Source organism: Homo sapiens, chromosome 4 (assembly GCF_000001405.40).
Source record: "Homo sapiens chromosome 4, GRCh38.p14 Primary Assembly".
Taxonomy (NCBI): Eukaryota; Metazoa; Chordata; class Mammalia; order Primates; family Hominidae; genus Homo; species Homo sapiens.
In genome coordinates, this window is record NC_000004.12 from 3,149,447 (window position 1) to 3,175,230 (window position 25,784).

Here is a 25,784-nt window from a genome sequence, read left to right on the forward strand (position 1 = left end):
AGGCATGCACCACCACACCCAGCTAATTTTTTTGTAGTTTTAGTAGAGACGGGGTTTCACCATGTTGGTCAGGTTGGTCTCAAACTCCTGACCTGAAGTGATCTATCCGCTTCGGCCTCCCAAAGTGTTGGGATTACGGGCATGAGCCACCACGCCCAGCCTAAGATAGACCAGTTCACTTACTGTTTATATCTGATTACTCTCTCTTTGCCTTGTCTTCTACCTTTAAAAATCTCCCTACTAACTTCCCATTCTCCTTTAGCTGCCATCAGTCTTCTCCCTTCTCTGCAAACATCTCTGGAGAGTCCCAGCCTCAGCCCACAGAGCTTCCCACTGCTCTGAGGTGGACCTTGTTTGCAAGGCTTCTTTGGCTCTCTTGGCCTGGACCCTGTCTACTACTTCAGCCATCCTTCCTTAACCCCTGCTGGTGGTTTCTGTTGCCACACTCCATAGCAGCGTTTCCCGCCCAGATCATGTCTTTACATCTCTGGGCACTGCTCTGGTCCTGCCTGCCTTTCCCTCTTTGTATCCTGCAGGCTGCTACCCCCATCTTGAGTGTCCTCTTCAGTTGGCTTTCAGAGGGCCTCCTGGGTGTTCCCTTACCCACTTGCCACTCCCCAGTCACTGGGTTCAGTCCTTCCTGCCCACCAGCACATGCTTTCTAGGCTCTGTCCTAGGCCGTCTTCTCTCTTTGTAGTCTCTGGGCCAGTGCTGTTCTAGAGAGTGGCAGAATTTTCTATAACCATGGCAGTGCTCCATAGCTATGCCAGGCAAGACAGTAGCCACTAAACACATATAGCTGTTGAGCCCTTGAAATGCAGCTAGTGTGACTGAAGAACTGAACCCCGATTCGGTTTAATTTTCATTAAATTTAAATTTAAATAACCTTATGTGGGTAGTGGCTCCAGTATTGGGCAGGGCAGCCTGAGAGTCGGGGCTGTTCTCCTGTCTTCAGTGTCTAGATGAGGGACCTCAGAGGACCTGTCTCTGGAGCTGCAGTTCAATGTAGCCAGCTGCCCCGTGACACTTACATATAGCTGATTTGTGGATATGTCAGACACGGTGTGATGAGCTCAGCTTTCTGTCCTCCTCCCCACATCTGCCCCTGCCCCATTTACCCCACTTTGTGTCTTATCAAGCTAGAAACAGGTCACCACAAGTCTTCATTTCCACTCACCAAGTCTTTTGTTTCCCCTACTAAATATTTTGCGAGAAGAAAGTGTGTACCTTTGTATTCACATACATGTACATGCACATATACATGCACATATGCAGGGGTCCCCAACCTCTGTTAAAAACCGGACTGCAGGCCGTGCGTGGTGGCTCACGCCTGTAATTCCAGAACTTTGGGAGGCCGAGACCAGTGCATCACAAGGTCAGGAGATCGAGACCATTCCGGCTCACACGGTGAAACCCCGTCTCTACTAAAAATACAAAAAAAAATTAGCCGGGTGTGGTGGCGGGCGCCCATAGTCCCAGCTACCTGGGAGGCTGATGCAGGAGAACGGCGTGAACCTGGGAGGCGGAGCTTGCAGTGAGCCGAGATTGTGCCATTGCACTCCAGCCTGGGCGACAGAGCGAGACTCTGTCTCAAAAACAAAACAAAACAAAAAAAAAAAAAACCAGGCTGCACAGGAAGAAGTGAGCAAGCATTACCATCTGAGCTCTATCTCCTCTCAGGCCAGTGGTGGCATTAGATTCTCATAGGAGCGTGTATGAGTTCGTTCTCACACTTCTGTAAAGACATACCTGAGACATATAAAGAAAAGAGGTTTAATTGGCTCACAGTTCTGCAGGCTGTACAGGCTTCTGTTTCTGGGAAGGCCTCAGGAAACTTGCAGTCATGGCAGAAGGTGAAGGGGAAGTAGGCACATCTTCACATGGCCCACAGGAAAAAGAGAGAAGGAGAGAGAGAGAGAGACAGAGAGAGAGAGAGAAAAAGAAAGATTGAGAGGGAGAGAGGAGGGAGAAAGGAGAGTGCCTGTAGGGGGAGTTGCTACACAAAGGAGCACCAGGGGGATGGTGCTCAACCATTAGAAACTACCCCCATGATCCAATCACCTCCCACCAGGCCCCACCTCCGACACTGGAGATTACAATTCAGCATGAGATTTGGGTGGGGACACAGAGCCAAACCATATCAGAGCATGAACCCTATTGTGAACTGCACATTTGAGGGATCTAGGTTGCATGCTCCTTATGAGAATCTAATGCCTGATGATGATTTGAGGTGGAACAGTTTCATCCCGAAACCATCCCCCGCCAACCCTGGTTTGTGGAAAAATTGTCTTCCACAGAACCGGTCCCTGGTGCCAAAAAGTTTGGGGACCTCTGCACATATGCATGCACCTGTACATGGACACATAATACATGTACATATGCATACTTTATATTCTCTGCCACTTCTGGTCCAGACTGATATACTATCTCATTTGGATTACTGCACTAGCCTTTTGTTTTGGAAACAGCATTTTTTAAAAAATTTAATTTAATTTTTTTGAGATAGGGTGTCATTCTGTTGCCCAGCTTGGAGTGCAGTGTCATGATCATAGCTCACTGCGGCCTCGATCTCCCAGGCTCAAGTGATCCTTCTGCCTCAGCCTTCTCAGTAGTTGGGACTACAGGCATACCCACCATGCCCAGCTAATTTTTTGATTTTTTTTTTTTTTTGAGACAGAGTCTCAGCCTGTCGCCCAGGCTGGAGTGGGTTGGCGCGATCTCAGCTCACTGCAACTTCTGCCTCCCAGGTTCAAGTGATTCTCCTGCCTCAGCCTCCCGAGTAGTTGGGATTACAGGCGCCTGCCACCACACCCAGCTAACTTTTTGTATTTTTAGTAGAGACGGGGTTTCACCATGTTGGCCAGGCTGGTCTCGAACTTGTGACCTCGTGATTAGCCCGCCTCGGCCTCCCAAAGTGCTGGGATTACAGGCGTGAGCTACCGCTCCCAGCCAGGAAACAGCATTCTTGAGATAATTCATATAATTCACCCATTTAAAGTATATAATTCATTCTCTTTAGTATGCCCACAGAGTTGTACAGCCATCACCAGAATCAGTTTTAGAACCCATAAAGGAACTCTGTACTCTTTACCCAAAACCTCCATGCCTCCAGCTGCAGGCAGCCACTAACCTGCCTTCTGTCTCTGTGACTCTACGTCTTCTGGACATTACTGTGGATGGGCTCATACAGTCAGTGAGCTTGTGACTGGTGCCTTCTACCAAGCAGGGTTTTCAGTGTAGCAGCCTCTCTGTTTTTCTTTTTTTTTTAAATTGTGACGGAACTTCTGCCTCCCGGGTTCAAGCGATTCTCCTGCCTCAGCCTCCCGAGTGGCTGGGACTACAGGCCCATGTCACCATGCCTGGCTAATTTTTTTTTTTTTTTTTTTTAGTAGAGATGGGTTTCAACATGTTAGCCAGGGTGGTCTCGATCTCCTGACTTCATGATCCGCCTGCCTCGGCCTCCCAAAGTGCTGGGATTACAGGCGTGAGCCACCATGCCCGGCTAACCTTTCATTTACTGTCTGCATTTCTTCCCTGATGCCTTCCAGTCCATGCACCCGATTGTAGCCATTCATCCTATTATGGTTTAAGGTGACTGTCTTAGTCAGCATGGGTTGCCATAACAAAATACCATAGCCTGGGTGGCTTCAACAACAGAATTTACTTCTCACACTTCTGGAGGTTGGGAAGTCCAAGATCCAGGACTTTCGCCTTGCCCTCATGTGGTGAGGGGGTGAGGAAGCTCTGTGGGGCCTCTTATATATGGATGCTAATCTCATTCATGAGGGGTCTGCCCTCATGACCCAGTCACCTCCCAAAGGCCCCACCTCCTAATACCATCACCCTGGTAATTAAGTTTCAGTGTATAAATTTGGGGGACTATAGACATTGAAACCATAACAAGCACTTTTCTAAGATCAGGGAGTGAGTAAGTAGCAGAGCTAGGACCTCAATTCCACATGTCAGTCATCTTGCCTTCACTCTGCTCCATGATGGCTGCCTCCTAGAGCATTGGGAGTCTCGATGTTCTATATGCTCTCATGTGTTGTGTATTGGAGATAGTTGAGGCTTTATGAATACATCTGGATTTGTTGACTTCTAGCTTTGCTGGTAACCAGCTGTGACCTTGAATAAGTTACTTCATCTCTGAGCCTGTTTCCTCTTTTAGAAACAGGAGTTTAAAATGCTGCTTTGGGTTGGGCACGGTGGCTCATGCCTGTAATTCCAGCACTTTGGGAGGCTGAGATGGGAGGATCACTGGAGCTTGGAGTTCGAGACCAGCCTGGGCATCATAGTGTGAGATCCTGTCTCCTCAAGAAATTAAAAAATTAGCTGGGTGATGTGGCGTGTGCCTGTGGTCCCATCTACTCTGGAGGCTGAGGTGGGAGGATTGCTTGAGCCCAGGAGGTTGAGGCTACAATGAAATATGATTGCACCCCATCCTGGGTGACGAGTGAGACCCTGTCTCAAAAAAGAAAAAAAAAATGCTGCTTTGTACCCCTTTCATGTCATGGCGTCATGGCCAACATAGAATGCCCTGGTTGTTTGCTGTTGGAGGGCATGGGCCTGGGGGCTCCCTGAGGGCTCCTTCCATCTTCAACTCATTCTCTGTGCACCTGTTAGGAAGTTGTGGGCCAGTCCCTACCATGTATCATTGTGTGGGTAAAAGTAAATAAAATGTGTACAGTGTCTGAACTGTACATATCAGGGTCCAAGAACAAAATGAGTGACATGGGTTAGCTCTTTTTAATAAATGGTAAAACCAAATATTCTAATTTTCAGTTTTGTTATACTTCCATCACATGTTTTTGTTTTTTTGTTTTTTGTTTTTGTTTTTCTATTTTAGGCAGCCTTGCCTTCTCTAACAAACCCCCCTTCTCTAAGTCCCATCCGACGAAAGGGGAAGGAGAAAGAACCAGGAGAACAAGCATCTGTACCGTTGAGTCCCAAGAAAGGCAGTGAGGCCAGTGCAGGTAGGAAACAGCGTGGGGAAGGGAGGGACATGAGTGCAGCATCTGTCATGTAGAAACATAGGATTTAAGTAACTTGGTGTTTTAGAGAAATAAATATAATACACATCAGTAAAGTGAGAGAAAGTTTCTCCAGGTGCGGTTCAAGATATTAGAAACTAATGACTGATGTACACAGACCACCTTTTGGTCTGAAGCATTTCTAAGTGCCACTGGCTGACATGCAGCCCCTACAGCCTCCAGGCTTCCAGCCCTAGCATGGAGCATCACTCTCCTATGCTTCCCTGGTTGCAGGTGATGGCTGGAGAGGCCTCCTGATTTTCAGTAAGGGAAGTGGTGTAGATGCTTAGGAATAGATGTAGTGAGTGAAAAAACTGATTCTGATATGTCAAAAATTCTGATTGGAAATGGAATATTTACATTTGGAAGAGCTAAAGGCGAGAGAAAGTGGGGATAAAGTCATCTGAGTTGGAGGAGCTTAAACCATTCACAAGTTTGGAGGACCTTTTTTTACCCATGAAAAGGTCAGAACAGAAGGGGCTAGGATTTAGGTGTGACTGCAGTTTATTGAATTCCCATCCATACTGCTCTCGGTGGGCAGTGGCAGGGGCAGGAGAGGAGCCTGGCAAAGCATGAAGTGACTGCTGCTGCCTCTGCTATCTGGGACGCCTGGCCACCTGTCTGTACAGTCTCCCTCCAGACCCATTCTCACGCTGTCTCTTGGCACCCAGGGGCCAGTGATGGTTCTCCCATTTGTTTTGTGTATATAGCATTTATATCAAGGCTATTTATTTATTTATTTATTTTATTTATTTATTTTTTTGAGACAGAGTCTCACTCTGTCACCCAGGCTGGAGTGCAGTGGTGCAATCTCGGCTCAGTGCAAGCTCTGCCTCCTGGGTTCAAGCAATTCTCCTGCCTCAGCCTCCTGAGTAGCTGGGACTACAGGTGTGCACCACCACACCTGGCTAATTTTTTGTATTTTTTATTAGTGGAGACGGGGTTTCACCTTGTTGGCCAGGATGGTCTTGATCTCCTGACCTCGTGATCCGTCCACCTCAGCCTCTCAAAGTGCTGGGATTACAGGCATGAGTCACTGTACCCGGCCTATTTATTTATTTTTAATTGACAAAATTGTATATATCTGTAATATACAACATGATGTTTGAAATATGTGTACATTGGCCAGGCGTGGTGGCTCACACCTGTAATCCCAGCACTTTGGGAGGCTGAGGTGGGCGGATCACGAGGTCGGGAGTTCAAGACCAAACTGGCCAGCATGGTGAAATCCTGTCTCTACTAAAAATACCACAAAAAAAAAAAAAAAAAAAAAAAGCCGGGCATGGTGGCTCGCGCCAGTCGTCCCAGCTACTTGGGAGGCTGAGGCAGGAGAATTGCTTGAATCTGGCAGGTGGAGGTTGCAGTGAGCTGAGTTCATGCCACTGCACTCTAGCCTGGGCGATAGAGCGAGACTCCGTCTCAAAAAAAAAAAAAAAAGAAGAAATACATATGCATTGTGGAATGGCTAATTAACCTGTGCATCACCTCACGTATCATTGTTTTGTGGTGAGAACACTTAAAATCTACTCTTTCAGTGATTTTCTTGCATATGGTACATTGCTATTAACTGCAGTCACCATGCTATACAGTAGATCTCTTGAACTCATTCCTCCTGTCTATAAATGAAATTTTGTATCCTTGACCAACACATTCAAGGTTTTTTTTGAGATGGAGTCTTCTTCACCCAGGCTGGAGTACCATGGCACGATCTCATCTCACTGCAACCTCCGCCTCCCAGGTTCAAGCAATTCTCCTGCCTCAGCCTCCTGAGTAGCTGGGATTACAGGCACATGCTACTGCACCTGGCTAATTTTTGTATTTTTAGTAGAAGTGGAGTTTCACCATGTTGGCCAGGCTGGTCTCGAACTCCTGACCTCAAGTGATCCGCCTGCCTTGGCCTGCCAAAGTGCTGGGATTACAGGTGTGAGCCACTGCACCCGGCCTCAAGCGTTTTAAAAGATGCTCTTTTCTAAGGATTGACTGTAGTACAGGAGGAAGATTGACCTGTTGAAAAGCCTCAGCCTTTACAAGTGTAAAATTATCAGTATATTACTATCATCTTTCTGATGAATTAAATAAACTAAGGACTCCAAGTCAAAAGTCTTCAAACTGAAGTAGAATAGTTGTATATAGTGCTTGGCACTTTAATATTTAGTATCGGTTTAATGATAATGTTTGTGCCTTTGCCGTCTTTAAAACATTTTTACATCATCCCTGTTTGATTACTTGGTGTGCTCATGAAGTTGTTGGCCACTAAGGAATCTTAGGCTCAGAGAGGTTCTGGAATTGGCCAGTGGTCCTTGAATCAGCTGCTCCTATGATTCTCTAACTGATTTCTCACAAAGCAAACAAGCAATCATAACAAAACAACTGTGCACACTGCTCTTCTTATTTTGTTATTTAAAAAGTACTTAGGCTCTACTTATGTTTGTTAGTCAATTTCTCATTACTTCTAGTTAATCAAAAGGTCAGAGGAAATACTTGAATATTTTCATACTAGAATACTTTAAAAAATCATGATTTCCAGTAATCTCTTTAAAACTTGGCAAGTTATTTTGATCTAAAAGTTTATCTTTTGTGTGCATATTTTTAAAGCTTCTAGACAATCTGATACCTCAGGTCCTGTTACAACAAGTAAATCCTCATCACTGGGGAGTTTCTATCATCTTCCTTCATACCTCAAACTGCATGATGTCCTGAAAGCTACACACGCTAACTACAAGGTATGGGCCTCTGCATCTTTTAAAAATATATATGCACACATACTTACGTCTAATGGATAGTTGATGTTTTTCTTATGATTTGTAGGATGTATAAGCCCTTTGAGATATGAGTTACATTTAGTTTTTTCAAGTTTGTTTGTCTTTCAGCTTTGTTTATGATAGCTTCTATCATACAGGTGTTTTGGATTTTCATATTGTTTGTACTCACAGCTAAGATTGATTACAGTGACAGAGCTAGGATGTGCAGCCAGGTTATAGGGGGAAGTGGCCCTGGTGGAGTCTGGAGGGATCCGTGTACAGGCTTCCTTCCCTCCCGTGAGGCTCACACAAAAATACAGCAACATGCTGGTCCTGCAGGTACCCTCTGCCTAACATGAGCCACAATTCCAGACTCACAGAAGAAAAGCAGGTGTTCGGCATAAACCATGTGTTTCAAATAGTCTGGGCATGGTGAGCCACTTGTTATCAGCTAGGGAAAGTTTATGTCAGCGTAAGAAACTGTTCACCAGATACCCCCAAGAGCCAGCCTTTCTGTCTAGGGATGTTTTAGTTTTTTAGTTCATTTTTTTTTTTAACTTTAAAATTTTCTGTTCATCTGCAATTTGTTAGATATGAAGTATGTGTCTAATTTAATTTTTGTTTTTGGTTGTCCCCAATAATGTTTACAGAAGAATTTTTCTGCACTAATTGGCTTGAGTTACTTACATTCTCATAGTTCTCTAGTTTCAGTAGTTTCATTTATTATTTTGTTATATCAATCTATCTGTCTGCTCATCTATTAGAAGCATCCTTGTTTTTTTTTTTTCTTTTTTAGACAGAGTCTTGCTCTGTCCCCAGGTTGGAGTGCAGTGGTGCAACCATGCCTCCCTGCAGTCTCAGGGCTCAAGTGATCCTCCCACCTCAGCTCCTGAGTACCTGGGACTACCGGCATGTGCCACCACACCCAGCTAATTTTTACATTTTTTGTAGAGACAGGGTCTCCCTAAGTTGCCTGGGCTGGTCTCAAGCTCCTGGCTTAAGTAATCCTCCCTCCTTGGCCTCCCAAAGTGCTGGGATTACAGGTGTGAGCAACTGCACCCGGCTACAAGTATACTTCTTAATTATTGTAGCTTAATGGTATTTATGAGGGGATCAGTTCCCCTGTTGTTCTTTAGAATTTTCTGGATATTCTTCTTTATTGATTTTGGGATGTGAACAATAGAATCAACTTCTACTTGTAGATTGATTTAGGGAGAACTTATACCTCAGATGTTAAGTCACCCTGTCCAGAATGTGGGATGCTTTCCTATTTGTTCAGAACTTTTTAAATTACCTCAGAAGCACATGAAATTTAAAGGATTTTAAAAAAAACTTAAAGATTATTTCACATAGCTCTTGCACATTTCTTGATAAATGAATCCTCAGGTATTCCTCTGTTTTTGTTACTAATAGTTACTTCTTATGGGTTTTTTTTCCCCTGAAAATCATTTATCAAACGTATGTGGCTTATTTTCTGAAGGATGTTTGATAATTTTGGAAGATATGAAAGTCTTCATATTTTACAAGGTTTGAGGTCTCTTTAAGCTGCATGGTTCTCATGTCAGCTCCCAAAGCAGAAGACGGCATGTTGAAAAATGCCGTAGAGAAGATACTTCTTTTCCACCTGTTTTCAACTCATATCATCTTGAATTTCAGGGCACCTTTCCATGCTCCTAGTGCTTGCTATCTGTTTATTATTTTCCTTCCTGAATACCCTGAACTCCAGCATGTTCTGCTGTAATTCTGGCCTCCCTGGCATCTTGGACTCCTGTTTCCTTTGCTCTGTCATCCCCGCGGTCAGCTCCTGCTGCGCAGCTTCTCAGCTGAAGTGCGTTTGGAGTGCCTGGCGTGTCTTGCTGGATCTTTGAGTATTGCCTCTGGTTTCCTTGGTTCCTTCTGCTGAGTTGCTCAGCGTCTCCACTCCCCATTTCTTGTGTGGCCCTTCCTGCACTCCTCTGATTCCTTTTGTCTTCCCTGGTTTCTTGCTTTGGTTTCGAGTCTCCACAGAACTTTTGCAGCTCTTCTGAAGACCTGGAAGCTTTTTCATCTTAATTCTCATCTCATGACCTCTTTTCCCTTCTTTGAGAGCTAGAACTTCCCATGGTGAACTTCTCTTTCCAGAATTCCATGCCTTCTTTTCCCTCCCACTTACCTGTTGTCCAGGAGAGGTCAGATTGCTGTGCATATTGGAGGAGAACCCTTTCTTCCCTGGGCTCTTCATCTCACATGACATCACCACATCACCTCGTTCCTTGGACCCTCAGTGGTGTCACTGCTGGATTTTTCTTTCCTTTGGCTGGCCTTAGGGCACACCCAGGTTGACTAGCGTAGTCATGGTATTTAGATCCACTCACATTTTCAGTTTCTGTGTCTGTCTCTTGCCTGCTTCTGACTTCGCCCAGAGAAAGCTTCTCTTTCACAAGGGTTCTTAGATTTATGTTCACTGAGCACCTTCTTTTCTGAGGCAGTGTTTTACCAATATTTATTTTCCTAGTCAGTCTCGCCTTACCTTTCTTGTTATGCATGTCTTTGGTCCTGACCCATTCTCTGAGTCTGTAAAATAGAATTGCTGTATAATTTAATTACATGAAATCCTTTAGAATCTTAACACATCTTACACCTGATTTAATATTTTATTGTATCCAAATTGAACCAACCCTATGTGAATTTGACAGTGATTTCTCCCAGGGATCCTAGTGTATAAGGAATAGGACTTAGTATTTTCTATTTTTTGATATACCACATACCAGATACTGATTATGATGGACATTTAACCCTTTTTTCTCATTATGAAAGAAAGTTAGGAATTATTTCTTCCAGTAGCGCCAGTGTAACCTGAAAGCCTTTGAAAGAGTAGTTTTTGTATAGCTATCTGAAAGGAATTTCTTTCCAAAATATTTTTCCAGTGCTGACAACAAACACGCAGACACACCCTGCAAGGTGAGTGTACGGCGCCGCACAGTGGAGGCATCTGCTGCAGCCGTCGATGTTTGTGTCTTTGGTTGTACATTATGAGATCGTGACAGGGCCAGTAACCGTGTGTTCTCTCCTTCACCTTCCCAAGGTCACGCTGGATCTTCAGAACAGCACGGAAAAGTTTGGAGGGTTTCTCCGCTCAGCCTTGGATGTTCTTTCTCAGATACTAGAGCTGGCCACACTGCAGGACATTGGGAAGGTTTGTGTCTTGTTTTTTCTCCTTGGGTTGTGGCTGGCACACTTGATGTGCGTCTTCTGGGCTGAGTTCATCTAGGATGGAGCCTGGTTCTCCAGGGTGCCTCCGGGAGACTCCTCCCTGCCCCACGTGCTTGCGTCACAGGACCCAAGTCTGACTCTGCCTTAGCCATGAAGTTTAGGGGGAAGTTTCTATTTGTATTCTATTTTTGTCTGTTATCATGTATTAGCTTAGACCCAGTTTAGTTTGGAAAATCAGTGGGTTTCAAAATGTGTTTGTAGAGTCCTTTATTTCTTAACTTGACCTTTTCAAGTGGAAAGGGGCAAAACAGACGGGTAAGGGGGCGGGGCGGGAGGTGTGACTTGCTCTTTTGTGCCTGAGGAAGTAACAGAGCTGGGGTTGACAGTCATATTCTCTGACACAGATAGTCTCTGACTTATCTCACAGAAAGTCAGCGGCAGAGCCTGAGTTAAAAGTCTCGTAGATTTTCTTTTTCTTTTTTTTGGTGGCTAATTTCAGTTTTATTTATATTTGTTTATTTATTTATTATACTTTAAGTTCTGGGTTACATGTGCAGAATGTGCAGTTTTGTTACATAGGTATACACGTGCCATGATGGTTTGCTGCACCCATCAACCCATCACCTACATTAGGTATTTCTCCTAATGTTATCCCTCCCCCAGTCCCCTCACTCCCCATGGGCCCCGGTGTGTGATGTTCTCCTCCCTGTGCCCATGTGTTCTCATTGTTCAATTTCCACTTGTGAGTGAGAACATGCGGTGTTTGGTTTTCTGATCTTGTGATAGTTTGCTGAGAATGATGGTTTCCAGCATCATCCATGTGCCTGCAAAGGACATGAACTCATCCTTTTTTATGGCTGTATAGTATTCCATGGTGTATATGTGCCACATTTTCTTAATCCAGTCTATCATTGATGGACATTCGGGTTGGTTCCAAGTCTTTGCTATTGTGACTAGTGCCACAATAAACATACATGTGCATGTGTCTTTATCGTAGAATGATTTATAATCCTTTGGGTATATGCCCAGTAATGGGATTGCTGGGTCAAATGGTATTTCTAGTTCTAGACCTTTGAGGAATCGCCAGACTGTCTTCCACAATAGTTGAACTAATTTACACTCCCACCAACAGTGTAAAAGTGTTCCTATTTTTCCACAACCTCTCCAGCATCTGTTGTTTCGTGACTTTTTAACGATCGCCATCCTAACTGGCGTGAGATGGTATCTCATTGTGATTTTGATCTGCATTTCTCTAATGACCAGTGGTGATGAGCATTTTTTCGTATGTCTGTTGGCTGCATAAATGTCTTCTTTTGCGAAGTGTCTGTTCATATCCTTTGTCCATTTTTTGATGGGGTTGTTTGCTTTTTTTTCGTAAATTTGTTTAAGTTCTTTGTAGATTCTGGATGTTAATCTTTTGTCAGATGGGTAGATTGCAAAAATTTTATCCCATTCTGTAGGTTGCCTGTTCACTCTGATGATAGTTTCTTTTGCTATGCAGAAGCTCTTTAGTTTAATTAGATCCCGTTTGTCAATTTTGGCTTTTGTTGCCATTGCTTTTGGTGTTTTAGACATGAAGTCTTTGCCTATGCCTATGTCCTGAATGTTATGGCCCAGGTTTTCTTCTAGGATTTTTATGGTCCTAGGTCTTATGTTTAAGTCTTTGATCCATCTTGAGTTGATTTTTGTGTAAGGTATAAGGAAGGGGTCCAGTTTCAGTTTTCTGCATGTGGCTAGCCAGTTTTCCCAACACCATTTATTAAATAGGGAATCTTTTCCCCATTGCTTATGTGTGTCAGGTTTGTCAAAGATCAGATGATTGTAGATGTGTGGTGGTATTTCTGAGGCCTCTGTTCTGTTCCATTGGTCTATATATCTGTTTTGGTACCAGTACCATGCAGTTTTGGTTACTGTAGTGTTGTAGTATAGTTTGAAGTCAGGTAGTGTGATGCCTCCAGCTTTGTTCTTCTAGCCCAGGATTGTCTTGGCTATGCAGGCTCTTTTTTGGTTCCATATGAAGTTTAAAATAGTTTTTTCCAATTCTGTGAAGAAAGTCAGTGATAGCTTGATGGGGGGATAGCATTGAATCTATAAATTACTTTGGGCAGCAAGGCCATTTTCACGATATTGATTCGTCCTATCCATGAACATGGAATGTTTTTCTATTTGTTTGTGTCCTCTCTTATTTCCTTGAGCAGTGGTTTGTAGTTCTCCTTGAAGAGGTCCTTCACATCCCTTGTAAGTTGTCTTCCTAGGTGTTTCATTCCCTTAGTAGCATTTGTGAATGGGAGTTCACTCATGATTTGGCTCTCTGTTTGTCTGTTATTGGTGTATAGGAATGCTTGTGATTTTTGCACATTGATTTTGTATCCTGAGACTTTGCTGAAGTTGCTAATCAGCTTAAGGAGATTTTGAGCTGAACCAATAGGGTTTTCTAAATATACAATCATGTCATCTGCAAACAGGGACAGTTTTACTTCCTCTCTTCCTATTTGAATACCCTTTATTGCTTTCTCTTGCCTGATTGCGCTGGCCAGAACTTCCAATACTATGTTGAATAGGAGTGGTGAGAGAGGGCATCCTTGTCTTGTGCCGGTTTTCGAAGGGAATGCTTCCAGTTTTTGCCCATTCAGTATGATATTAGCTGTGGGTTTGTCATAAATAGCTCTTACTATGTTGAGATACGTTCCATCGATACCTAGTTTATTGAGAGTTTTTAGCATGAAAGGCTGTTGAATTTTGTCAAAGGCCTTTTCTGCATCTGTTGAGATAATCATATGGTTTTTGTTGTTGGTTCTGTTTATGTGATGGATTACGTTTATTGATTTGCGTATGTTGAACCAGCCTTGCATTCCAGGGATGAAGCTGACTTGATTGTGGTGGATAAGCTTTTTGATGTGCTGCTGGATTCAGTTTGCCAGTATTTTATTGAGGATTTTCACATCGATGTTCATCAGGGATATTGGCCTAAAATTCTCTTTTTTTGTTGTGTCTCTGCCAGGCTTTGGTATCAGGATGATGCTGGCCTCATAAAATGAGTTAGGGAGGATTCTCTCTTTTTCTATTGATTGGAATAGTTTCAGAAGGAATGGTACCATCTCCTCTTTGTACCTCTGGTAGAATTCGGCTGTGAATCCATCCTGGACTTTTTTTGGTTAGTAGGCTATTAACTATTGCCTCAAGTTTAGAACCTGTTATCAGTCTATTCAGAGATTCAGCTTTTTTCTGGTTTAGTCTTGGGAGGGTGTATGTGTCCAGGAATTTATCCATTTCTTCTAGATTTTCTAGTTTATTTGGGTAGAGATGTTTATAGTATTCTCTGATGGTAGTTTGTATTTCTGTGGGATCGGTGGTGATATCCCCTTTATCGTTTTTATTGAGTCTATTTGATTCTTCTCTCTTTTCTTCTTTATTAGTCTTGCTAGCGGTCTACCTATTTTATTGATCTTTTCAAAAAACCAGCACCTGGATTCATTGATTTTTTTTGGAGGGTTTTTTTTCGTGTCTCTATCTCCTTCAGTTCTGCTCTGATCTTAGTTATTTTTTGTCTTCTGCTAGCTTTTGAATTTGTTTGCTCTTGCTTTTCTAGTTCTTTTAATTGTGATGTTAGGGTGTTAATTTTAGATCTTTTCTGCTTTCTCTTGTGGGCATTTAGTGCTATAAATTTCCCTCTACACACTGCTTTAAATGTGTCCCAGAGATTCTGGTATGTTGTGTCTTCGTTCTCATTGGTTTCCAAGAAAATTTTTATTTCTGCCTTCATTTCGTTATTTACCCAGTAGTCATTCAAGAGCAGGTTGTTCAGTTTCCATGTAGTTGTGTGGTTTTGAGTGAGATTCTCAATCCTGAGTTCTAATTTGATTGCACTGTGGTCTGACAGACAGTTTGTTGTGATTTCTGTTCTTTTACATTTGCTGAGGAGTGTTTTACTTCCAACTATGTGGTCAGTTTTAGAATAAGTGCAATGTGGTGCTGAGAAGAATGTATGTTCTGTTGATTTGGGGTGCAGAGTTCTGTAGATGTCTATTAGGTCCGCTTGGTCCAGTGCTGAGTTCAAGTCCTGGATATCCTTGTTAATTTTCTGGCTCATTGATCTGCCTAATATTGACAGTGGGGTGTTAAAGTCTCCCACTATTACCGGGTGGGAGTCTCTTTGTAGGTCTCTAAGAACTTGCTTCATGAATCTGGGTGCTCCTGTATTGGGGGCGTGTATATTTAGGATAGTTAGCTCTTCTTGTTGAATTGATCCCTTTACCATTATGTAATGGCCTTCTTTGTCTCCTTTGAACTTTGTTGATTTAAAGTCTGTTTTATCAGAGACTAGGATTGCAATCCCTGCTTTTTTTTTGCTTTCCATTTGCTTGTTAGATCTTCCTCCATCCCTTTATTTTGAGCCAATGAGTGTCTTTGCATGTGAGATGGGTCTCCTGAATACAGCACACCAATGGGTCTTGACTCTTTATCCAATTTGCCAGTCTGTGTCTTTTAATTGGGGCATTTAGCCCATTTACATTTAAGGTTAATATTGCTATGTGTGAATTTGATCCTGTCATTATGATCCTAGTTGGTTATTTTGCCCGTTAACTGATGCAGTTTCTTCATAGCGTCAGTAGTCTTTACAATTTGGCATGTTTTTGCAGTGGCTGGTACTGGTTGTTCCTTTCCATGTTTAGTGCTTCCTTCAGGAGCTCTTGTAAGGCAGGCCTGGTGGTGACAAAATCTCTGCATTTGCTTGTCTGTAAAGGATTTTATTTCTCGTTCACTTATGAAGCTTAGTTTGGCTGGATATGAAATTCTGGGTTGAAAATACTTTTTTTAAAGAATGTTGAATATTGGCTCCCACTCTTTTCTGGCTTGTAGGATTTCTGCAGAGAGATCTGCTGTTAGTCTGATGGGCTTCCCTTTGTGGGTAACCCGACCTTTCTCTCTGGCTGCCCTTTCCTTCATTTCAATCTTGGTGGATCTGATGATTATGTGTCTTGGGGTTGCTCTTCTCGAGGAGTATCTTTGTGGTGTTCTCTGTATTTCCTGAATTTGAATGTTGGTCTGCCTTGCTAGGTTGGGGAAGTTCTCCTGGATAATATCCTGAAGAGTGTTTTCTAACTTGGTTCTATTCTCCCCATCACTTTCAGGTACACCAATCAAACGTAGATTTGGTCTTTTCACATAGTCCCATATTTCTTGGAGGCTTGGTTCATTTCTTTTCACTCTTTTTTCTCTAATCTTGTCTTCTCGCTTTATTTCATTAATTTGATCTTCAATCACTGATATCCTTTCTTCTGCTTGATTGAATCGGCTGTCGAAGCTTGTGTATACTTCACAAAATTCTCGTTCTGTGGTTTTTAGCTCCATCAGGTCATTTAAGCTCTTCTCTACACTGGTTATTCTAGCCATTAGTCTAACATTTTTTTCAAGGTTTTTAGCTTCCTTGTGATGGGTTAGAACATGCTCCTTTAGCTCGGAGAAGTTTGTTATTACCGACCTTCTGAAGCCTACTTCTGTCAATTCATCAAACTCATTCTCCATCCAGTTTTGTTCCCTTGCTGGTGAGGAGTTGTGATCCTTTGGAGGAGAAGAGGTGTTCTGGTTTTTGGAATTTTCAGCCTTTCTGCTATGGTTTCTCCCCATCATTGTGGTTTTATCTACCTTTGGTCTTTGATGTTGGTGACCTACGGATGGGGTTTTGGTGTGGGTGTCCTTTTTGTTGATGTTGATGCTATTCCTTTCTGTTTGTTAGTTTTCCTTCTAACAGACAGGCCCCTCAGCTGCAGGTCTGTTGGAGTTTGCTGGAGGTCCACTCCAGGCCCTGTTTGCCTGGGCATCACCAGCAGAGGCTGCAGAACAGCAAATATTGCTGCCTGATCCTTCCTCTGGAAACATCGTCCCAGAGCACGAAGGTGTCTGCCTGTATGAGGTGTTTGTTGGCCCCTACTGGGAGGTGTCTCCCAGTCAGGCTACATGGGGGTCAGGGACCCACTTGAGGCAGTCTGTTCATTATCGGAGCTTGAATGCCGTACCGGGAGAACCACTGCTCTCTTCAGAGCTGTCAGGCACGTATGTTTAAATCTGGAGAAGCTGTCTGCTGCCTTTTGTTCAGATGTGCCCTTCCCCCAGAGGTGGAATCTAGAGAGGCAGTAGGCCTTGCTGAGCTGCAGTGGGCTCTGCCCAGTTCGAGCTTCCCTGCTGCTTTGTTTACACTGTGAGCATAGAACCACCTACTCTAGCCTCAGCAGTGGTGGACACCCCTCCCCCAGCCAAGCTCCTGCATCCCAGGTCGATTTCAGAGTGCTGCGCTAGCAGTGAGCAAGGCCCCATGGGCGTGGGACCCGCTGAGCCAGGCACAGGAGAGAATCTCCTGGTCTGCTGGTTGTGAAGACTGTGGGAAAAGTGCAGTATTTGGGCAGGAGTGTACTGCTCCTTCAGGTACAGTCACTCATGGCTTCCTTTGGCTTGGAAAGGGAAGTCCCCCGACCCCTTGTGCTTCCCAGGTGAGGCAACACCCCGCCCTGCTTCGGCTTGCCCTCCGTGGGCTGCACCCACTGTCCAGCAAGTCCCAGTGAGATGAACTAGGTACCTCAGTTGGAAATGCAGAAATCACCTGTCTTCTGTGTCGATCTCACTGGGAGCTGTAGACTGGAGCTGTTCCTATTCGGCCATTTTGGAAGCATCCCTTGTTTTTTGAGGTGGAGTCTTGCTCTGTCGCCCAGGCTGACGTGCATCGGCACAATCTCGGCCCACTGCAACCTTTGCCTCCTGGTTTCAAGCGATTCTCCTACCTCAGCCTCCGGAGTAGCTGGGATTACAGGCACCTGCCACCATGCCTGGCTAATTTTTTGTATTTTTAGTGGAGATGGGGTTTCACCACATTGGCCAGGCTAGTCTCGAACTCCTGACCTTGTGATCCACCCACCTCAGCCTCCTAGAGTGCTGGGATCACAGGTGTCAGCCACCACGCCCAGCCATATTTTCAGATCTCCCTCTCTTTGCCCTAAACCACTGTGCTTAATAAGTAGTTTTTAGTGGCCAGCAGTCTCCATGTATAACACATTTTAGCAAAATGGAAAATACTATATGTTTTAAATTTGAACGTGAGATTATACTGAAATAAAAATCATCTAACTGGGATTCTTTAAATAGTAAGATTTTCTTTTTTGTATGTGGGTTTTTTTTTAACCTTATTATTATGACTGTCATATATAGAAATGGCTGTTTTTCAGTTACAGTCAGTGAATGTATCAAATGCTGCCTTATCCAAATAATAAAAGTAAATTATTAATAAGTCACAATTTAATGAAGATTGATGTTAGTTGATCTTTATATTCTTGAAATCAGCCATATGGTTGTGTGTGTATGTATATATTTTTAAAGGTACATAAAGATAATAAGCTCATCTCTGAAAATTTTTACATTTGGCATAAGAATAACTGGATAATTAAGCATCTTATTCTCTGGCCTGTGTCTTTACAGTTAAAGGTAGATTTACTCACCTCTCCTTTTTTGTTTTTCTAAGTTCATCTTTTTTGCTGTTTCAAGACAGAGGCCCATTTTAGCTTTCTCGCATATCCTTTTGTTTGTACTTTGGAAGCCTCACCTGCTTAATTGTTGAGTTTTTATCCGTGGTCTTTTAGAGGGGGATATGTAGGGTAGAAGCTTTCACAGGTTCTTGTTTGCACTTGGCCCCTGACTGTTTTGAGGAATCTCCCTCACTGACTCACAGCATGGCAAGGTTTCAGATCTCTTTCTGCCACACAGCAGTTCTGAGGCAGCTGGAAAGATATCCAGATGCTTAGATTGTCAGGCCAGGCTTGAGATATACAAACTATTGAGCCTTATCTGTGACCTTGCTTAGGTGAAGGCATCAGAGCCCCTGCACCAACATGCATAGGCCTCTGCATGTGTGCGGGGCTGGGTGTTGAGGTCTGAGCACAAGTGTAGCTGGAGAGGTGAGCTTGATGTGGCGACGGGTATGAGCAGGTTTTCTTCAGACTTCTGTGAGTTTACCTAGTTCCAGGATTTAAAGGCACAGAGACTTTAGAATTAAAATAGAATCATTTTCTTTTTCTAAATAGCAACACTAGGAATAAAAAATAATAATTCCACATTCTTGACAGGTAATGTTTTTTCTTGTCTTCTAATCCTTATTTATTCCATACTCATTTTTATACATAATTGAAATGTATTATGCATTGGATTTTTCTTTTGCATTATATTATAGACGATTTTTCATGTAACTCCTTACTGTTCCATTTTATATGTTTTGTCTGGTTTAAGACTTTATCTGCAAACCGGGAAACTGTCTCTACAAAAAGAAAAACAAAAATAGTTGGCCGCAGTGGCATGCGTCTGTGGTCCCAGCTACTCGGGGCTGAGGTGGGAGGATTGCTTGAGCCTTGGGAGGTTGAGGCTGCAAAGAGCCATGATCATGCCATTGCACTCCAGCATGGGTGACAGACTTTATACTGTCTGTTTTGGGTGATTTGATAATGATATGCCCTGATGTAGTTTTTTTATATCTTGTGTTTCTTGTGCCTGGGTTTATTGAGGTTGGGTCTGTGGCTTCATAGTATTTTTAAAGTTTGGAAAATTTTAGGCCATTCTTTCTTTCTTTCTTTCTTTTTTTTTTTTTTGAGACAGTGTCTCGCTCTGTCGCCTGCGTTGGAGTGCAGTGACACTATCTTGGCTCACTGCAAGCTCTGCCTCCTGGGTTCACGCCATTCTCCTGCCTCAGCCTCCTGAGTAGCTGGGACTACAGGCGCCTGCCACCACGCCTGGCTAATTTTTTGTATTTTTAGTAGAGACGAGGTTTCACTGTGTTAGCCAGGATGGTCTCAATCTCCTGACCTCGTGATCTGCCCGCCTGGGCCTCCCAAAGTGCTGGGATTACAGGCGTGAGCCACTGCACCCAGCTAGGCCATTATTTCTTCAAAGATTTTTTTTCTGCCCTGCCTCCCTCCTTTTTTCCCTCTCTTAAAGGGGCTGTGATTTCCTGAATGATTGCTTAGTGTTGTCCCATAGCTTACTGATGCTCTTTTCAGTGTTTGATTGTTTTATGTGTTTTCTGTTTTGTATAGTTTCTATTATTGTGTTTTCAAGTTCTCTGATCTTTTCTTCTACAGTGTCTACTCTGTTGTTAATCTGTTAATCTGTTGTTAATCCTGTCCAGCGTATTTTTTTTTTTGTTTTTGAAACAGTCTCACTCTGTTGCCCAGGCTGGAGTTTAGTGGTGCGATATCAGCTCACTGCAACCTCCACCTCCCAGGCTCAAGCAATTCTTCTGCCTCAGCCTCCCGAGTAGCTGGGACTATAGGCACGTGCCACCACACCTGGCTAATTTGTGTATTTTTATTAGAGATGGGGTTTCACCATGTTGGCCAAACTGGCCTTGAACTCCTGACCTCAGGTGATTCATCCGCCTCGGTCTCCCAAAGTGTTGGGATTATAGGCATGAGCCACCGTGTCTGGCCCCTGTTCAGTGTATATCACTAATTTTGTTTTTATCTCTAGAAGTTTGATTTAGGTCTTTTAAAAATGTCTCCCTGTGTTTCTGTTTAGCTTTGTGAACACAATTGTAATAACTGTTTTAATATCCTTCTCTGCTAGTTCTAAGATCTTCTAATAACTTCCCAGTTCTTGGTGTTTCTCATTGGTTGATTGATACTCCTCGTTTTGGGTTGTATTTTCCTGCCTCTTTGTATGGCTGCCAATTTTTTATTGGATGCCCAACCTTGTGAATTTTACTTTGTTGGATGCTATATATTTTTGTGTTCCCATAGATCTTCTTGAGCTTTGTTCTGAGGTTAGTTGAGTTACATATAGATGGTTTACTCTTTTGGGTCTTGCTTTATAATTTGTCAGATGGGTTGGAGCAGTGCTTAGTTTAGGACTAATTTTTTTTTTGGACTAATTATTCCTCTTTAGGAATAATTAGGTACCATGCTTAGGAGGCAAGACCATCCTGAGTACTCTACCTAATGAACCAGAAAGTTTGGGTTTTCCAGTCCGCCTGCTGAGAACAGTGACTTTCTAGCCCTGTGTGAGCGCTGAGCTCTGCTCCTTCTAATCCTTTCCAATGCTTCTTTCCCTGGCCTCAGGGAGTTTTCTCACACACATATCTCTGCTGAGTACTCGAGAGGGACCTTCCCCAGATCTCCAGAGCTCTCTCTGTCTTGTTTTCTCTTCTCTGGTGCTCTGTCTTATGAACTGTGGCTGTCTTGGTCTCCTTAGATTCTCAGCACCTCTTCAATTCAGAGGGTTGCCTGTCCCTCCTCCTTGTGCCACAGCCTAGGAACTCTCTCAAAGCAGCGAGTTGGGGCAGCCATAGGGCTGACTTAGTCTCTCGTCTCCCAGGGATCACTGTCCTTCATTGCTCATGTCCAGTGTCTTGAGGACTCTGGGTTTTGTCTGTTTTGTTTTTTGGTTTGCTTTGGTTGTCTCAGGCAGGAGGGTAAACCCAGTCCCTCACCCTCATTGTGCTCAGTAGTGGAAGTCTCACTCTATTACATTAGATATTAGTATTTGTAGCAGAGCCCTGGTTCCCTGGTACTTGGGGAGCTCTTGAAAGGCCAGAAACAGCATGCTTTCTCACCTTTTCCAGGGCTTCAGTTTCTGGTGCACATCAAGCATTCCATACACATTTGTTAAAGTCCTTTGTTAGACAAGTAGTGATTCACAGGTTCTATTTGTAATTTTTTCAGTTAACATGTATTGGGTATCTGCTGGGAGCTAGTAAAAACAAAAAGTGGTGTGTGACAAATTCAATTCTGACAAGAACAACCTTAAACACTTAGAATATACTTTGAGCATATCAGAATTTTAAAAATGTGTGGCCCTTGAGTATTTGAAACCAACAAGAATCTATTGCTTATTAGTAGAGGATATTTTGTTAAACAAGTGGAGAGAGAGGCATTTTCAGTCTAATTGGTGTTGGCTTTTAGCAGCTGATGGAAACCAGTTCGTGATTAGCCAGGCAGTGGTGAAACAGGCTGTGCATTCTGAATGCCTAGGTATCTAGGCATTCAGAATGGTGGCGCTCTTTGAGTTAGCATCTTCTTCTTTCTTGATTCTTTTTTTTTTTTTTTTGAGATGGACTTTCGCTCTTGTTGCCCAGGTAACAACTCCAGTGCAATGGCGCCATCTCGGCTCACTGTAACCTCTGCCTCCCTGGTTCAAGCGATTCTCCTGCCTCAGCCTCTCAAGTAGCTGGGATTACAGGTGTGCGCCACCACGCCTGGCTAATTTTGTATTTTTGGTAGAGATGGGGTTTCACTATATTGGTCAGGCTGGTCTTGAACTCCTGACCTCAAGTGATGCACCTGCCTCGATCTCCCAAAATGCTGGGATTACAGGCGTGAGCCACCACTCCCAGCCCCTTCTTGATTCTTGAAAAGGACATTGGGTGCTGTACATCTCGTTATAGATGTTGATAAAAATGCTTGTGAGAAGAGTAACATTAAGGTAGTTATTTGGTCATTTTTGCAGATTATTTTAAGACAATTCTAGGACTGATTTGTGGTAAATCACACATTGCTGTATCATAGTTGTGTTCACTGAACATATTCAGGGGCTCTACAGATGCAGGGCTCTTAGCTGCTTTGCACACTTCTGAATTCCTGCCCTGCGAACAGGACTGGATACCTAATAGACAACAGGTACTTGATAACAGTTTATTGAATTAATGAGTGAATGAACAGATACATAAATGCATGAAAGAATGGTTGTAATGTATATAACTTGGATTTCAAGACTTTTTACTGACTGTTCAAAATAAGAAATTGAAAACTTTCCTCTGATTTTCCTCTACTATTTACACAATTTAAATGGAAGTTATCTTGTACCTTCAATTTCTGTCTAGGATTCGTACAATAACGGGTCATCTCTGAGTCGCTTAATGTCTCACTTGTCTTTCTACAGTGTGTTGAAGAGATCCTAGGATACCTGAAATCCTGCTTTAGTCGAGAACCAATGATGGCAACTGTTTGTGTTCAACAAGTAAGAGCTTCATTCTTTTCCTCTTCTGTTAAGACGTTCGGGTATGACAGCAAAACGCTGCTACTCCTTAAGAGGCAGGCGCTGTTGGCATAATCAGCTGGGAGGATTGTGGGGTCCAGCGCAGCACTTTTTGGCTCAGTCCATGATTGAGCCAAGAGGCCATCCTTCCCTTCACTCCCCAGGAGGACGAGGTCTGTCACTGTGGAGGGCAGAGGACACCAGAAGCTCCTCTGCAACCTCGCTAGTTAACTTCCAGTCCCTCGGAGTTTCTGTTTAGAATGCTCAATCTCATTTAGAATTGCAAGGAAACCCAAAACGCCTATTTAAGGTACAAACAGCACTTCATACAATATCTCATGAGGTATTAATAGTGATTCACAGGAAGAATTTCACGCTGTGAGTCTTTGCTAACATATCCAGTTATTTACAGATGGATTTGATATTTGTGTGGGAGATTCTTAAAAGTGTTGTTCACGCCACATTGTTGATGCCTCATTTTTTTCACTGTAGTTGTTGAAGACTCTCTTTGGCACAAACTTGGCCTCCCAGTTTGATGGCTTATCTTCCAACCCCAGCAAGTCACAAGGCCGAGCACAGCGCCTTGGCTCCTCCAGTGTGAGGCCAGGCTTGTACCACTACTGCTTCATGGCCCCGTACACCCACTTCACCCAGGCCCTCGCTGACGCCAGCCTGAGGAACATGGTGCAGGCGGAGCAGGAGAACGACACCTCGGGGTAACAGTTGTGGCAAGAATGCTGTCGTTGGTGGAAGCACGAAAGAGCAAGCAGGAAATACTTTGTAAAAGAATAAAAACGAAAAATGTTAGCGAACATCTTCTAATAGTCTGCTGTATTCAGAGAACTCTAGGAGATATATATGGTTGATGCAAAGATGATTTAAGGCATAGCCCGGCCTTCCAAGAAGTGTGTGGCCAGTGAGTGAGATGGGCTTGGGACTTACACATCTCAGAGGTGGGGGTAGAGGAGGAGGAACACTGAGTGGGCTGAGAAGCAGCCAGCTCTCATTGCCAAAGTGTGTCAGCAAACCAGAATGCAGTTCATAATGTCCCCACCCATTCAAAGCACAGGACCTGTAGAGTGGTGTGGCATGTGTTGGTGGCACTTTTCAGGCCTGTAACAAGGATGAAAGAACAGCTTCATAGCAGCACAGTAGTGCTGGTGTTCAGAGGTGTGTGAAGGCCATAGAAGCATCTTGGATATATTACCTTGTGTTTTGTCAGCTTTATGACTAGAAGTCTCTTTTCACTTAAATTTGTTTTTTTTTTTTTTGAGACGGAGTCTTGCTCTGTCGCCCAGGCTGGAGTGCAGTGGTGCAATCTCAGCTCACTGCAAGCTCTGCATCCTGGGTTCATGCCATTCTCCTGCCTCAGCCTCCCGAGTAGCTGGGACTACAGGCGCCTGCCATCACGCCTGGCTAACTTTTTTTTGTATTTTTAGTAGAGACGGGGTTTCACCATGTTAGCCAGGATGGTCTCGATCTCCTGACCTCGTGATCTGCCCGTCCCGGCCTCCCAAAGTGCTGGGATTACAGGCGTGAGCCACCGCGCCCGGCCTCTTTTCACTTAAATTTATGTTTGTGTTTTTAATGCCTAGTATACAGGACTTCTTAAATTGCCTTAAGTATGAACAGGTATTTGAGTTGCTAATCTGTATAGTAGCAATAATAGAATCCCTTGTTTTTCCTTTTATAAATTTAGCGATTAAATAGCTACAATTAAAACACTAGAGTCAGGAGTCAAGGAAAATACCCATGTTCCAGGCTGTATGTTAGTGATGTACTTACTATATATTGGAGTTTCAGGAGTAAGTCTGTTTCAATGCTTTCTGTAACCATTTGGGGTATTAATAAGCATGTGAGTGTGTGCATGTTTGGGTTAATTTCATATATGTTTCTTAGAAGGGATATCATTGATGTAAATATTTTAAAGGCTTGTCCTCCAAAAAAATCATGTAATTTCTTCTAAATTACTGATCTTTTAAATGACCTTCACCTTTCTCTCAAATCTCACTTAAGACTGGGCTGAGTAGTCAGTTTCCTGTAGCAGAAAAAAGCTCAGACTTGAGTAGCCTTCTGCGAGTGAGGAGACTTGATGGCTGTCAGGCAGCTGTAAACTCTAAATAGAGTGTCATTATCTGAAGAGGGCGATGCTGCCACACTGAGTGGCCTTTCAAGTTGTTTCTCAATCTGACACGTTCTGATCGTGTGAATGTGAAATTGGTTTGAGCAGGAGTATATCTGAGTGCAGAGGAGATTATTTAAAGATATTCTCATTCTCTGCTTCCCTTTTATTCCCATTTGGCAGATGGTTTGATGTCCTCCAGAAAGTGTCTACCCAGTTGAAGACAAACCTCACGAGTGTCACAAAGAACCGTGCAGATAAGGTAAATGGTGCCGTTTGTGGCATGTGAACTCAGGCGTGTCAGTGCTAGAGAGGAAACTGGAGCTGAGACTTTCCAGGTATTTTGCTTGAAGCTTTTAGTTGAAGGCTTACTTATGGATTCTTTCTTTCTTTTTTTCTTTTTTATAGAATGCTATTCATAATCACATTCGTTTGTTTGAACCTCTTGTTATAAAAGCTTTAAAACAGTACACGACTACAACATGTGTGCAGTTACAGAAGCAGGTTTTAGATTTGCTGGCGCAGCTGGTTCAGTTACGGGTTAATTACTGTCTTCTGGATTCAGATCAGGTTTGTCACTTTTATCTTTCATCCATCATACCTGTTCCTAATTTAGTACAAATTACCCTAAAAGACACTGAAATCTACTTTAAAGAAATGTGGTCTGCATGTTTCCCTCATCAGTTGCTGCTG

At 43.3% G+C, this 25,784-nt stretch overlaps 1 protein-coding gene across 2 annotated transcripts in view; it reads left to right on the forward strand.

Moving 5' to 3' along the window:
* HTT (huntingtin) overlaps window positions 1–25,784 on the forward strand; it is a 169,280-nt gene that overhangs the window by 74,766 nt on the left and 68,730 nt on the right. For both annotated transcript variants that reach the window (NM_002111.8, NM_001388492.1), the window contains 7 exon segments: window positions 4,847–4,973; window positions 7,626–7,753; window positions 10,836–10,946; window positions 22,874–22,951; window positions 23,462–23,685; window positions 25,275–25,353; window positions 25,500–25,661. In NM_002111.8, the coding sequence (NP_002102.4) occupies window positions 4,847–4,973; window positions 7,626–7,753; window positions 10,836–10,946; window positions 22,874–22,951; window positions 23,462–23,685; window positions 25,275–25,353; window positions 25,500–25,661 (909 nt within the window).